Here is a 15,173-nt window from a genome sequence, read left to right on the forward strand (position 1 = left end):
CAGGTGTAAACTTTCCTAGTCATGACCCTCTTGGAGACCCTCATCCATTCGTACAAAAAATGTTCACAAGTTAGATAATTAAATGAAGGAACTACGATGTCTCTGATGGACAAGTGATTCACTCAAGTGGTACTCCATCCATCCATCCGTCCGTTCATCTGTCCATCAATCAGTCTGTCCACCCATTCATCTACTGAGAAATAAAAGAGCTGGTTGCTTGGTCCCTGTCTGCCGGCTGGGTCAGAGTTCTGCTACAGGTTTGTATGTTGTTAGAGGCTCAGGTTAGCTGCCCATCCAAGTGGAAGCCAATTTACCAGAAAGCCAGAGTCTGTGGTTACTGTGGCTGTCGTCACGGGTAGAGTGCTTGGTGCGGGTCACTGGCACTGAGGCCTTTTTAGTGAGTGGGTCCCCTCAGGAGGGTCAATGACACATCTCCAATCAGCAAACAAGAGTTAGAGCAGAGGGATAGTGTAGCCTCAGGGCCCCTTCCTCCGTTCCAAGATATCTCTGTCTAGATACTGCGCATTAGAATTTAGTACTGAAGAATGAAGGTGGAGGCTGGGGAAACATTCTAACTCTCGGGGGCCCTGTGCCAACCACCCGCCTTCAGTGGTAACATCCTTGTCACCTTTGTTTCCATCACACCTCACCTGTGTTGCTTTCTACACATCCTGAAGTTTAACTTAACCTGGACACCTTTGGGCCCCATGACCCATTGGTGGGAGCACCACACTACTACTTAGAAAGTGGGGTTTTTGACTGTGGACCACCGTTCGGGACCCTCTCTGACTGGGACTGTCATTCCCCTGTTTACCGGACCGTCGTCTTTCTGGGTACTCTGTCCTGCCTGTCCCAGTGTGCAGGGCTCCTCCTCCCATCCTGAGGAGTTCTTTCTTGGAATTTTGGCTCCCCCGCCCTGCAGCTTGGTTTCCACTCCCACCTCAAGGATTAGAGTTCTGACCTGAACCTCAGAGGAGGACAAGTCCCCTGCCTGGCAGGATGTGGATTCACCAGGGCCGGGGGCACGGGATTGGATATCAACTATTCCACTAGCTGCAGGCATCGCGGCCCCACCCAGCTGACACTGCTTTCGCATGTATTGCTTTCCAGAGATGAGAGCATTCTGCAGTACTGCCCGGGGGCTGTCTTCTCTCCATTTAGCAATGCGATGCCACAATTTTGCTGTGCCATTACACATTTTTCCTTCAGCGTCATTCCAGCATCAGCTCTCTAATATCCCTTTTTATAGATTTTCCATTTCACAGTGAGAGAAGGTGAGACAGCAAATACTGTTTTCGCAAATGCAGGGGCTGATGACTGAGTTTGATGTTTTTTTTTGTTTTTGTTTTTTTTTGGGTTTTTTTTGTTGTTGTTGTTAGATTCCTGAGACGTACCACGTCCCAGCATGAATTGTGTAACTTATCTGCCCTGTGTCGAAAATTAGACTTTGCTCCTGTATTTTCAGAAATAATTCTTGACACCCTCTTAGGTTTTCAGGCTGTGTTTTGGCTCTGCCCTCATCTTATCTCTGGGTTCCAAGAGCTTTTTTCCCATTTCTCTTTTTTTCCATGGCCCATGCCTGAGTTGGGTTGGCAGGTTCTCCTCTTCTTGCTGTGTCCCTGCAGAGTCTCTTTCTGGCACTGCCTTAACCACTGCACTTCATCTGAGGGGAGAGAGAGGAAGAGCCACTTGGCTAGGGAAGCGAGTGCTTTCTCTGCTGGTAAAGATGTCTGGGAGAAGGGTCCCCCCACCCCTGTCCAGTGTGCCCCAGGGGTCGGGCAGCCAGTGACCCCTTCCACCTCATTTCTTTCTTTTTGTTGCCTGCACAGGACTGGAGAGCTAGCATGAGTATCTGTCCTGCAAGAGCTTATTAAGCCCTGCTTATACACGTGGCACCAGGGAGGTGTTATTATCGGTCATAGCAAGGCAGGGAGGGACAGCAGACGGGAAGGAGTTAAAGTTCTCCACAAGGAAAAGTGTGATTAAGTGGCAAAGGGAATGGTTTGGAAATAAGTGCTGGGGGCTTTCAGGGGAAGGGGAGGTCATATGGGCCAAAGCGGGGCAGACCTTCTGTCTGAGGAGAGTGAGTAGACCCAGAAGGATGATGGGTTTGGAGTTGGGTGGAGAGGGACCCTTATTGGACAGGGAGGATGTCACTGTATTCTCCCTGAGGGACCTCCTGTGCGATTTGGTGTCTGAGGGGCCGTCTGTTTCAAGAAGTGGGAGGCGTGGTGGGGTGTGGGGGCTGGGTACCCTGAGAGTGTGGTGCTGTAATCACCCTCTGGCCAGCAAGGAAGCATGGCAAGACTTGGCCGAGACAGCTGCCAGTGTCAGAGGAAGGGTCCTGGGCCGGAGAGTAGAGGCTTGGCAAGGCGGCAGGGGGCAGGAGGCATGAGAAGCTGGCTTCCATGGGGCAGGGCAGGGAGGTCATGGACCACGCATGGTGTGGACACACCCGTGGGAACAGAGAAGAAGGGGAGAGGGAGACATTTTCATAAAAGGTCCCTCAGGGCCTAAAGACAGGCTTCTGGGGATAAAGGAGGTGCCTGGGAATGGGGTTGATTCTGTCTGGCTTTCTGGGGGCCTCATGCACATGAGGGCGTCTTTGTTGCCTGCATAGGACCACGTCATGCCCTCCTGCCTCAGGGTCCCCTCTGTGTTTCACGTGGGCTCCTGAGGCACATTGCACTGCACTGACCTTCCCCCTATGTGCTGTGGTGCCTGGGCCCAGAGACGGCTGTGACCTTCCTGGCTTCCCTGCTAGCATAGGTTAGTGGTGGTGCAGAGGTGGTGGTGGGAGTGCTTGCGGTAGTAGTAGTGGTGGTGGTAATAACGGGGTTAGAGCTGCTGCTCTGCGCTAATAAACGTTTTATTACCTCTAGTTCGTTTAGTCCTTAGAACAACCCTGTGGGGTTGGCCGGTCATACAGATAAGGAAACTGAGGCATAGAGACTTCAGCAATTGCCTGAAGTGCCACATCTAGTGAGGGGCAGAGCCTGGACTGAACCCCCAGCACATGGCTCCAGACTCCATGCTCCTGGGCACTCTTCCTCCTCAGCAGAGCAGGCCAGCACTGCAGAATCGCTTTCATCATGCCATTTAGAAATGGGCAGCTGAGGGTCAGCACCTCTGGTATGCCCAGGGTGTGCCCCACCTCTCTGCCCCATGTCTGCTGTGGTGGAGGGGAGGGAGGAGGATGATGGGGGAGTGCCCAGATGGGAACTGCTGGCCTTCAGGGGGCCAGCTGGGCCATTGGACTGGACAAAGCCTGAGCACAGCCCCAGTTGCACCTGGTGTGACCCCCACACATGACCTGGCCATGGGGAAATCTGGCCCTGTCTGGGTGGGGCCAACAGTGCTTTGGCCCTAAGAGTCTTAGGCTTCCCAAAGAGTGAGGAAGGACAAGGAGGCAGAGCAGGGGAAAGGAATTCACAGTTCGTGAAATTAGATGCTGCAGAAAATGTTAATGAATGCCCTGTTATCTTAATTTTCTCAGAGTGTGAAGTGTTTAGGCATCATGAGGATGAGAGTGTTACCAAACCCAGGAGAGCTTTGAGTTCAGGTCGCATTATTCTTAGATTTGTAGTTTGGTGGGGAAAGGAGTCGGACTATTTTTAGAGGGCGCCGATCTCGGTTTGTAATTAACAGACAGTGTGCCCTCCTGCTATGCACTCTCCTCACTCACACTTTGCTGTAATTAGTGTTTTAATCATCTTCTACAAGATCCTCAGGTCCGCAAGGGCCTGCAACATGCCTGTCTTCTTCACTACCCCGTCCTCCATGCTGGGCATATGAGCAGGGAGGGAGGATCGATTCCACCATGAGGGCTTGTAGGAGGTGCCAACAACTGGGCAGTCGACCAGTGGGAAGTTGAGCAGGTGGCAGGGGCAGCCTGAACTGAGCATGGATGGACAGAAGGTATGTCATGTCTGGGGAAAGCAAGTGCCAAGGATCCTGGGATGAAGTTGGGGAATGATGGGAAGAAGCAGGACAGGAAGTGCCTTGAATATTAAGTCACTCACTTCTCTTGTGTTTAGGGAGACAGGGCTGAAAACACATACTTTGTAGAAAGAACAGGAACGGTTTCATGATTCTTGTCTTTTATCAGACAGGGCCTCTATAACCCTTACAGCACCTTTGTGAGAATCGGAAATAGACATCTCTTATCTTGGTGGATGAATTTTGAAGAAAGCGGCCCCTGCCTCCCCTCTTCCCACCCAGCTGGCTGCAGCCTTGTACCAGGGCACAAGGCTTAACAAATAGGGTTTGAGCTGGCTCTTGGCCCTCACTTGCTCTCTAGGATGGATATTTTTGAGCAGTACACAAGCTGCGCGACTGTATATGATCACCCTTTGAGATTTATGGTCTAGATTTAGGCTTCTGATTGGAGATAGTATAAGATGGGAAGCCTTTCTGTGTCACCCAACTCTGATTGTCTTATTTACTTACACAATTCTGTTAGCCATATGTTGCTGTTCTTTGCACAAGAAACCAGGGACTATTACTACTGGAGGTCAGGACCTTTATAAGCACATTGTCCACAGTTCCCAAATGTCCTGGGCCCTGAACATTGCCATCACCCAGGAGCTTATCAAAACGCTGATTTCTGTACCCCAAAATCCCATTGTGTGTGATGTAGGAGCTAGGACAGAGTCCAAGAACCTGCATTTTCATAAGCTCTCCAGTTGCACACCACAGATCTAACCCACTTCTAGACAAGGAAACAGAAGCCCAGAGAGGTTTGGTGACTTGCCCAGGCCATCCCAAACTGGAGAGGAGACCTGAGTTTGGCGATGTTCAGTGCAGGCCTCCTCTGACTGTCTGCCCACCATGCTGAACCCAGTCCTCTCCAAGCTCTCCCATCTCTGACGATCTCCAAGGCCAGGAACCTGGCTCTGTGCCATTTTGTTTACAAACTGTGCTTCCTTTAGCCATCAATGTTTTGTCCCCTCTTAGTGTATTATCAGTACTTTACTGAAGCATAATTCACATACAGTAAAATGCATTAATCTTAAGTGCACAGCCTGAGGGATTTTGACAAATGTTTATACCCCTATAATCATTGCCCCAGATCCAAGTAAAGGTGATTTCCATTGCCCCAGAAGGCCATCAGTTGTTCTGAAAGGACAGAGGCACCTATTGGGGGACAGAGATCACTTCTGTTTGTTCCATGCGTGTGTCTTTGGGTTTTCTGTAATCTTCCTTGGAAGGGTGAGGCCTGCGGATGGGGCAGAGGTGGAGGAGCAGTGGGAACAATGTGTAGCCACATTTCTCAAACCCAGAGCATTGTCATGTGCCAGGGCAGACCAAGCTGCCGGGTAAAAGTGCTGCATCTTCTTGGGGTGTTAACACCATTTGAAGATCGTGCAAGAAAATCTATCTTTATGTTGAAATATAGGGATGGATAGAGAGCAGAATGTAAAACTCATTTGGATATTGACGACAAAACATTCACCTTTTAGAAAGTGGGGAAAGTGGGCTTCTCTTAACCCTACCTCTGGATCCCCAAGGGTAGCAGTCTTGCTCCTGCCCTGTCCTAGCCTTAAGGAGAGTTTGAGAAGTGCCAGTGTGTGGCATTCATTGCTGAAGCCATTCAGAGGATCCCATGGTGTTCTGTGTGATTGAGATAGGGCCTGGGAATACAGCCTGGACACCCACACCATCCACACACTGGGGGTGACCTGCTGGGAAGGATGACAGTACTGTTTCCCCTGGAGACTTGGCAGGTGGCGCATCCTCCAAAACTCTTTGAAGAATCTACATTTTTAAGACATGAAGCTGTGGACAGGGACACTTGGCATTTTCATCCCATCCCTAGGAGGGGCTAGAGCATCCAAGCACTGCAATATACTCCAGCCTGAAGAGGTTCTCTGGGACTTTGTTAAGGGGCATTGACCACTGTTCCCACCTCCCAGGGACAGAATCGGCTCAGAGCGTTTCAGCCGTCGACCCAGCCACTGAGCACGCCTGCTACTCACAGATGTGCCTCCCTTTCTGTTTCATATAGATTCTTTTCTGATGCTTTGTTTTCCTGCCTCAATTTCATAAATCTTTATAGTTGAGTTTTAAAAAATAACTTGCAAATGTTTTCCCTTTGGGTGAACTCTTGCTTCTGTGTGTTGTGATGGTGGCGATGCTGATTCCAAGAGCTAAATATGCGATGAGGATGCCTGTCGCAGGGGTGGTGGCCTCTGCCCTCACTTTTCCTAGAGACATATTTGTAAGTGAAATGTCAAAGGCATCTTTGGTTATTTCTAGGTTCTACATATATTTAACGAGTTTTAAAATACTCGTGCCAAATTGCCCAGCAGAAGATAGGTTGCACATGTTTTCACTACCGTTAGCGGACAGAGAGCACTTGTTTCCCCAACAATGGCGATCAGCATTCCTTTCCACACTTTTACTTTTTTTTTTTTTTTTTTGAGACAGAGACTCGCTCTGTTGCCCAGGCTGGAGTGCAGTGGCTCAATCTTAGCTCACCACAACCTCCTTGATTCAAGCGATTCTCCTGTCTCAGCCTCCCAAGTAACTGGGATTACAGGCGTATGCCACCATGCCCGGCTAATTTTCATATCTTTAGTAGAGACAGGATTTCACCATGTTGGCCAGGCTGGTCTCAAACTCCTGACCTCAAGTGATCTGCCCACCTCGGCCTCCCAAAGTGCTGGGATTATAGGCGTGAGCCACCACGCCCGGCCTTAAATTTGATAGATGTAAAATTGTACCAAAGTTTCCTTTGCATTTCTTTGGTTAGTCACTGCGAAGATTTTTCAGGAATTTATAACCTGTTTCTGTTGCTTCCTTTATAAATTTGCTTTTTATGCTCTGCTCATTTTGCTATTTTTGATGTATTTATGTCTTTCTTTTATTTTAGTTAGAGTCTTAATTTATAGGGTACCTCCTTAGTTTCCAGTTTTCAAAAAATATTATCTCTACCCAGACTCAGAGGCTTGGAACAGATTCACTCCAAAGCGGTATCAGGCCACCACTCCTACACAGTGTCTTTGGGAACATTAGAAAAACTGCTTCTTCCCTGTCTCATACAGCACCATCCTAAGTTTAGGGCTTAGTGAGTGGCACCCAGGTAAGTTCAACCTGTCCTGGGTCCCTTAGCCAGGCTCCCCTGTTCAGAACACAGCTGTACAACCTACACAACCCACTGTGGCCACTCTAGTGTTGTAAAAAGTGAACTAAGCCACATTCTTTTTTTTTTTTTTTTTTTTAATTGAGACGGAGTCTTGCTCTGTTGCTCAGACTGGAATGCCGTGGCATGATCTCAGCTCACCACAACCTCCACCTCTCAGGTTCAGGCGATTCTCCTGCCTCAGCCTCCTGAGTAGCTGGAACTACAGGTGCGCACCACCATGCCCGGCTAATTTTTGTATTTTTAGTAGAGATGGGGTTTCACTATGTTGGCCAGGCTGGTCTCGAACTCCTGACCTCATGATCCATCCACCTCGGCCTCCCAGAGTGCTGGGATTACAGGCATGAGCCACCGCGCCTGGCTGCCACTTTTAAAAATAATAACGAAAACTCCAAGCCATTGAGGGTACAATTTTTAATACAATTAAACCTCCCAGCTACCACTGTGGGCATCATGGTGTTCTGCATGGAATCTGATTTTGCTTGGCATTGGTCTGGTCTGTGCTGTGGCATGCCGGATAGCAGAGGCCTGGGAGGGAGTTCAGAGGCCTGGGTTCTAGTCCTGGCTGTGTTACTAATGCATGGCATGACTGTGGGCAAGCCAGCTTTTTGGGGCCTCACTTTTCTCATCTGTAAAAGGAGAGGCTGTGACTAAGTAAACTTCCAGGTCATTCTCAGCTCTAAATATCTGCAAGTTCGAGTTTTAGCTGTATTTTTCTTTTTTCCCCCAAAAGATTATGACACCTGTAAGACAGGTTAGTTTTAGATTTTTTCTTTAGCATCTGGGTTATGAAAAACAAAATCCATTTTGACGTTTTTGCATTCCATCAAATTTCTACCTGATTTATGCTGTTTTACGTGTGTCTGAAAAGAGGATTACTTACACACAGCCAATCGCCTTTCTCCATTTTACCAAAGGCATCTTGGGGTCTGTGGAGTCACTGAGAGAAGGCATGGATGTGCTTGACAGTGGGAAAATGTGGTTAAATTACTCTCTTGGCTCATCCCACCTTTTCCTTCTCTCCTTTCTCAGTAACTGTTTATGGGGCATCTCCCCGGGGAGGCTCAGAACTGAGCAACCCTTCGAGGACCTCTGTGCCTTGTGGGGAGCCGGGAATTACTGGGACCCTCCTAAGTGGCAGCTCCATGGGCATTCTTCCTTGCTCGCATCCTCATGGCCTCTCCCACAGAGGACACCCCCCAGCCCACTCTCCCTGATTCCACTTTCTCTACCACCCCAGGCCTTTCATGCTTTCCAGCATTCCCCAGAACCCATTCTCTGTGGCCTGTCAAAGGTGGGGTTTCATCCCAGCCACTTCTCCACTTGCTCTCTTCCTAGACCCTCTGGCCCTCTCAGGTGGCCCTGCCTGGCACCTGTGTGCTCCACACCAGGCCTGTCTTCTGAGCCCAATCCAGCTCCCACTTGGCTGCCTTAGGGACCTCTGGACCTCAGATGTCTCAGACCATGTGGTCCCAAATCTAGCTCGCGATCCTCATCCACAGTCCCTGTCTGGCTTTCCTGTCACCTAGCTGATCCCCCAAACACATGGCATCCTGCCTCTCCTGACCCCTGCCCCCACCCTCCCTGACCTGTCTGTCCTGCCCCTGCCCGGCTCGCTCCACATCCGTCCTTCCTTCTCCTGGCTGCATCTTCTGAGGTCTGGCCTCCTACAGTCTCTCCTGCTCCCAGTCTTCCTTTATTGCTTTGATCCAAATTTAAAACAAAGAACACCGCTGTCCTGTGGCGGGCTCCCTGCGGGAGTCACTGCTGTCTCTTTACCCTTCCCCATCTCAGGAGGGGCCCAATGCAGGCTTGCGCAGCTGAACTGGACTTATCCTTGATCAAGGTCAGACTTTTCCCTCTGATTGTTCTGCCACCTCCTCAGCCACACAGTGGCTGAGGGCACCGGACTTTTCCCTTTCCCCTCCCTCTCTACATGTACCCGGCGCCCCTGTCTCCCATAATCCTCCAGAGGTTAAGTAGATCCAAGACCCTTGGGCTGCATGTCGGAGCAAATCCAGCCCAACTTTTTAAGAAAACCAGGGCTCTGGGAAGGGGCAAATGCTGGGTCACGTCGTTGGAGGTTTGTGGCAGGGACTCTCATGCCTGCGTGTATGAGTTTCCCAGGACTATTGTCACGAATTATCACAACCTGGGGGGCTTAAGACAGCAGAAACTCATTCTTTTAGTCCTGGAGGCTGGAAGTCCAGAATGAAGGTATCTGTAGGGCTGTTTCCTTCTGAGGGCCGTCAGGGGGAGTCTGTTCCAGCTTTTCTCCTGGCTCGAGGCAGCTCCCAACAGTCCTTGGCATGTTAGGGCTGGCAGATCCAGGGCTATGCCGGTCCCCTGCCTGCCTCCATCTTCACATGTACTCTCCTCTTGTGTGTCTGTGTCCAAATTTCCCTCTTCTTATAAGGACCCCAGTCCCTGGATTAGGGTTCCAGTATGACCCCATCCTAACTTGTTTACATCTATAAAGACCCTATTTCCAAATAAGGCCACATTCACAGGTCCTAGGGACTAGGGGTCCAACATGCCTTTTAGGAGGGAGGACACAGCTGAGCTAATGCAGTGTGGTCCATGTCACTTGTTTTTGTGGTGCTAGAGAGGGACCGTGAGGTGTGGGTCACACTGGTTCACCTTGTGGGTGGATTTAGCTGGCCTTTGAGGTTGAAAGTTCTCAGCATTGTATTTGTAAGACCTGTATCATTAATAAACATTTTGCTAGTCTTGGATGCTTCTTTGTGTGGGGGGAGCTGGGAGATGGAGGACAGAGGTCACCTGGGCCATCTTTCCAGGTGAGATTATACATTTCAGCCTAGGGTGGGGCAGAGCCACCTCACGGAAGCATCACTTTTATTCTTTCACTTTTTGTCATTTTCCCCTTTGGAAACTAAGCTTGTTCGTGCTCTGGGACGTGCGGTCATGCGTCCCTCACTGCTGGGTTGAGCTGGTAGGCCTGCCCCTGCTTTCCTTTACAGGCGAGTGCCTCGTGCTGCTGTTTTTCTGATTGCTCTGGAAGTTCATTGTTGCTCTGGCCCTCCTGACCTGTGTCTGGCCTTTGCCCATGTGCAGAGTTTGTGGATCAGCATTTCAGGGGTGCGGGGGCGTGGTGGTATGCGAGTCCATAGCCGTGGAAGTTTGGGACCCAAGCCTCATGAGGCAGAAGCCTGGCTCTGGGGCTCCATATTTAGTCTGGAATCCAGCCTCAGCTGCTGCTCTGGGGCCACACTGGATGCCAGAAAGGGCAGAACACTGGCCCGGAGCCAGAGCTAGGACAGCAGGGCCTGCTGTGCAGCGCAGCTGGTGCCCAAGGGGCATGGACCTTGCTGGGCCTGCCCGGAACTGGCCTGCCCCTGCCTTTGTGTCAACCAGGAGGCCTGTGGGAAAGGGGGCTGGGAAGAAAGTGAGCAAACACCTCAGAATTGGAAGGATCAGAACTGGACAGGGCCTCGGAGTGACATAGTCCAGTGCACCCTTTCTGCAGAGAAGAAAGACTGGGGTGGCCCAGGGCGGTGACTTGCCCAAGGTCACACAGTTAATGGCAGAGCCACTAGATTTGGGCTTCTGGACATCAAATCCTTTGCCCTTCCCTGGAACCATGCTGCCCAGGAGGCCAGGCCGTTATCAGGGTGGGACTCCCTCCAGGCACCACCTTCGCCAGAGACCAGAAGAGGATGGCCACACCCTCGGGAGCACGCAAATTGGGAAAAAGCAGACATCCATTTCGGATGACTTCCTGCCCCTCTTTCTGTGCTACTTCCCAGGCTCCACTGGCTTCTGCCACTCCTCACCCTCCACCCCGCCCCCACCACTGAGACCTGCTTATTATGTTAGTCATTTACCCCATAGTGTGAATATCAGTCCTCTCCCAGAGGAACTTGGACAACAGCCATGGAGTGAGAGTTGGAGTCAGCCAGACACAGCCAGACACAGCATTACGGGACATGTTGCAAGGTGCATATGGACTGAAACAGGCAGATCTCAGAAATGGAGGAAGCCCCTGGGACCTGCTCTCTCAGGAAGGGAAGGCCAGGGAGAGCTATTTCCAAACCAACCTGGGAAGTGTGGGAAGATGCTCCTAGCACGTCTCAGCTCCTGTCTAGTGACTGATCCATCTCCCTTGTCCATGGAGACTGGCTGACCCATCTCATGTTCTATAGCTCAGATCTACTCAGGAGGCAGTCCGATGGCCTCACTCATTATAATTACCCTGACTCTTCTAAGGCAGTCTTCCCATCACCCCACCTTGTGGGTCCCAGGCTGGCTGTGGATGGGCCACCCTCTGATGTGGTACCCACCGCTCCAGGCAATGGCTGCCCACAAGGACAGAACAGGCTGGCCTGGAGCTCTGAGCAGGACACATGGGAGAAGACAGACTCAGCATCAAGAAAAGGTCAACACCAGCCTGGCAGGTCCCTGGCCCCACGTCCAGTATGTGCCCTTACCTGCTGTGTGACCTTGGTGTCTGAACCTTTCTGAGCCTCAGTTTCCTCATTTCTAGGGATCCATTCTTCAGATTAGAGGCAGAACTGAAGAGAGTGCAGCTAAAGGCTTAGCTCCCAGTAGCCACTCACATAGCTATCATTGTGGTGCGCATTTCCTCATGCAACCCTGGCAGGTAGGCAGGGCCAGTACTTGTAACCCCATTTTACAGACTTGGAAATTGATAGTTAGAGTAAGTAATGGACCTACCCAGCCCTTTGCATTTCTGGTGCTGCACTTTTTCTTTTCTTTTCTTTTTTCTTAGAGACAGGGTCTCGCTCTGTGGCCCAGGCTGGGGTGCAGTAGCACAATCATAGCTCATTGTAGCCTCCAGCTCCTGGGCTCAAGCAATCCTCCCACCTCAGCCTCCTAAGCAGCTGGTACTGCAGGCATGCACCACCATGCCCAGCTAGTTTAAAAATTCTTTTTTTGTAGAGATGGGATCTCACTTTGCTGCCCCAGCTGGTCTCAAGTTCCTGGCTGCAAGTGATCCTCCTGCCTCTGCTTCGGAAAGCGCTGGGATTACAGGTGTGAGCCACTATGCCTGGTCAGTGCTGTGCTTTTTCTACTGAAACACCCCGGTATTATCTGTGGGTTTTAGGAGCAGTTCTCACCCTTGACCCAATTAACCTAGATACCAGTGAATACCTTATTGTAAAGCTCTCTAGCTGCCGAGAGACCCCAGCTTCCTGGGTTGGTTTGAAAATAGCTCTCCTGGCTGGGTGCAGTGGCTCACACCTACCTGTAATCCCAGCACTTTGGGAGACTGAGGTGGGCGGATCAACTGAGGTTGGGAGTTTGAGACCAGCCTGACCAACATGGAGAAACCTACTAAAAACTACAAAATTAGCTGGGTGTGGTGGCGCATGCCTGTAATCCCAGCTACTCGGGAGGCTGAGGCAAGAGAATCGCTTGAACCCAGGAGGCAGAGGTTGTGGTGAGCCGAGATTGCGCCATTGAACTCCAGCTTGGGGAACAAGAGTGAAACCCTGTCTCAAAAAAAAAAAAAAAAGAAAAAGAAAAAGAAAACAGCTCTCCCTGGCCTTCCGTTCCCATGTGGGCAAGGAGTGGATGCTGGGGCTTGGCCTCATGGGAGAAGCTGTGCGTGGGCAACCACTCAAGTGCAGTGAGTGGATTAATAACCAGCGCGAGCCTGCCTCGGCCACTGTCATTCCCATGACACGCAACTTTTGTCATTGTTAACAGTTGGAGACTGTGTGCAGGCCTCTGCCTGGCAGTGCTGAGGATAGCGATTAGCAGGGAGTGGCGGGGACTAATCGCTCTCATCAGCCGGGAAGAATCCAAGCCTGCCTGCCGTTCACAGGTGGCCTTTAGCTCCTTGGGCCCCAGGGAAAGAGGAACAAAGGGAATCGCTGCAAAACATCTGGGGGCTTCCTCTTGTTCCGGAGAGGCAGGCTGCCGCGGATCAGGGAATGGAGGCAGCGGGGATCTGGGAGGCCCAGAAGCAGTGGAACCACAGCTGGGCTGGTGTCTATACAGCCCATGTCCTGCCTTCAGATGAGCAGGAACATTTTTAGAGGATGCCTGTGAAGTTTTCTCCTGTTCCTCTCACCCTGGGCATCATCAGGGGGCTCTGTATCTGGTGGGAGCATGGCAGCATTCAAGGTGCAGGAGGAAGCTCAGGCGGAGATTCCCTCTGGTCAGTGTACAGTTGGCAGAAATGCCCGGGAGACCCTCAGCTGGGGAACGCACCCAAGATGGAGAGCAGGGGCGTCAACACCTCCGCTGGGATTCTTAAGACTTCGCAGAAAAGGGCAAGTTTGTAGTGCATTTGAAGGACTTGGTTGAATTAAAGCAAAATTATCCTCATTATTGTCATCATTATTGATATTAATAATATGTAACTAGAAATCTTTTTTTTTTCTTTTTTTTTTTTGAGACGGACTCTCGCTCTGTCGCCCAGGCCAGAGTGCAGTGGCGCGATCTCGGCTCACTGCAAGCTCTGCCTCCCGGGTTCATGCCATTCTCCTGCCTCCGCCTCCCCGAGTAGCTGGGACTACAGGCGCCTGCCACAATGCCCGGCTAATTTTTTTGTATTTTTAGTAGAGACGGGGTTTCACCGTATTAGCCAGGATGGTCTCGATCTCCTGACCTCGTGATCCGCCCGCCTCAGCCTCCCAAAGTGCTGGGATTACAGGTGTGAGCCACCACACCCGGCCAATTCGAATTCTTTTGTATTTTAAAGCTGACTTTTATGTTCTTAAACTCTGGGAGGTTTTTTGTTTGTTTTTTTTTTTAAGATATTATTCTTATTTATAGATATAGGAATGAGGCCTATAGATGAAGGTGGCTGGCTGAGGTGAGCAGGCCAAGGTGAGGATATACCTTTGCCTCAGGTGGGGTTAGGGCCAGGCCCAGTGATGCTGGGAACCCATTCAGATCCTTTTCTTTCAGAATATCTGGCATTTAGTTATGCACTGTGTGATAGAGGCTCCTGAACAATTTCTTAGAGGACTGTTTCCTATCAACCAGATGACATGGACCAAAGAGGTGAATTTTTACCTCTCCTGTGCCACAGATCCCTCCTATGAACACAAGCCCCCCCTCCTATCTGCCCCCTTCCCCCACTCCTGCAATGTGCAGCAGACAGTTTCTTTGGTGTCGTGAACTGTGGCTGCAGTCTGGCCTACCCTTTTCCGGCGGGTCCTGGGGGATGCCTTGCTCACCGGCTGGCTTCCTGAGCCTGCACCCCATGCGGATGCACGGGGTCCCACACTCAGAAGGGTTCATGTTTGGTTAATACTCCATAGTCACTGTTTTGAAATTTTTATTTTGAGCAAGAAGCCCTTCATTCTTCCCCACCCCCACCCCACCCCGCCCCAACTGGGCCTCGAAAATTATATAGCCAGTCCTGCTTGCTCCAGGCCCCACAGTTGTTGAAGCATGGATCTGTGCTCCTGACTGCCACGTGGCAGGTCTGTGAGCTGGCCTAATGGCTATGGAGTAGCCGGCAGAGGCCCAGGGGCTGAGGCCTGAGCTGTTTGTGGGGCCTGGCATTTAGGGCAGCGTAGGGATTTCTGGAATGAGTCCTCACACATTCTCCAGCCACCACTTTCCAACCCTCCCTCCATCCCGGCCTCTGCCCCTTCCCTCCTCACTTGGAAACACCAGGTGCACGTTGTGACCTTGTTGGCAAAAAGCAAGGTGCCGGAAATCCATGCACCCACAGCAGATAACTGTCCCCCTCCTGTGCCCATCCTGAAGCTGGCCCAATCTGAGCTCCCCACAGGAGTTTATTTTTGATAGATCGAGAAGACTAGAACTATCCAAGGAACGAGAACTGCCCCGCTTGGGCCTCCTCCTCACCTGGTGCGTTCAGTCAGGCTGCAGCATGCCCTGAGGATGTGCTGCAAGTCCCTGGGGCCAGGCTGAGAGAGCTGAGGCCCTTGTCTTGATGAACTGCAGGAGTTGCTGTCAGGGCCTGCTGGGCCCTGAAGGCCTCCAGTCTGCCAAGAGGGAGGTGGCCGTGAGCTGAGTGGTGCCAAGTCTCCGGTGCCAGGCATTGGAAAGGTCATCTTGACAT

At 51.1% G+C, this 15,173-nt stretch overlaps 1 protein-coding gene across 23 annotated transcripts in view, besides 3 other annotated features; it reads left to right on the top strand.

Moving 5' to 3' along the window:
• The window catches only part of CTIF (cap binding complex dependent translation initiation factor), a 324,187-nt gene that overhangs the window by 40,842 nt on the left and 268,172 nt on the right, over window positions 1-15,173 (top strand). The gene's annotated exons all lie outside the window — the stretch shown is intronic.
• Window positions 1,822-2,458: an enhancer, noted in NCBI's record as "H3K27ac-H3K4me1 hESC enhancer chr18:46108065-46108701 (GRCh37/hg19 assembly coordinates)". NCBI's record gives its function as "activates a minimal SCP1, AML or CMV promoter by ChIP-STARR-seq in naive H9 embryonic stem cells {active_cell/tissue: H9 hESC(naive)}" and the evidence as "EXISTENCE:reporter gene assay evidence [ECO:0000049][PMID:30033119]".
• Window positions 2,459-3,095: an enhancer, noted in NCBI's record as "H3K4me1 hESC enhancer chr18:46108702-46109338 (GRCh37/hg19 assembly coordinates)". NCBI's record gives its function as "activates a minimal SCP1, AML or CMV promoter by ChIP-STARR-seq in naive H9 embryonic stem cells {active_cell/tissue: H9 hESC(naive)}" and the evidence as "EXISTENCE:reporter gene assay evidence [ECO:0000049][PMID:30033119]".
• Window positions 3,096-3,731: an enhancer, noted in NCBI's record as "H3K4me1 hESC enhancer chr18:46109339-46109974 (GRCh37/hg19 assembly coordinates)". NCBI's record gives its function as "activates a minimal SCP1, AML or CMV promoter by ChIP-STARR-seq in primed H9 embryonic stem cells {active_cell/tissue: H9 hESC(primed)}" and the evidence as "EXISTENCE:reporter gene assay evidence [ECO:0000049][PMID:30033119]".

Source organism: Homo sapiens, chromosome 18, assembly GCF_000001405.40.
Source record: "Homo sapiens chromosome 18, GRCh38.p14 Primary Assembly".
NCBI classification, from domain to species: Eukaryota; Metazoa; Chordata; class Mammalia; order Primates; family Hominidae; genus Homo; species Homo sapiens.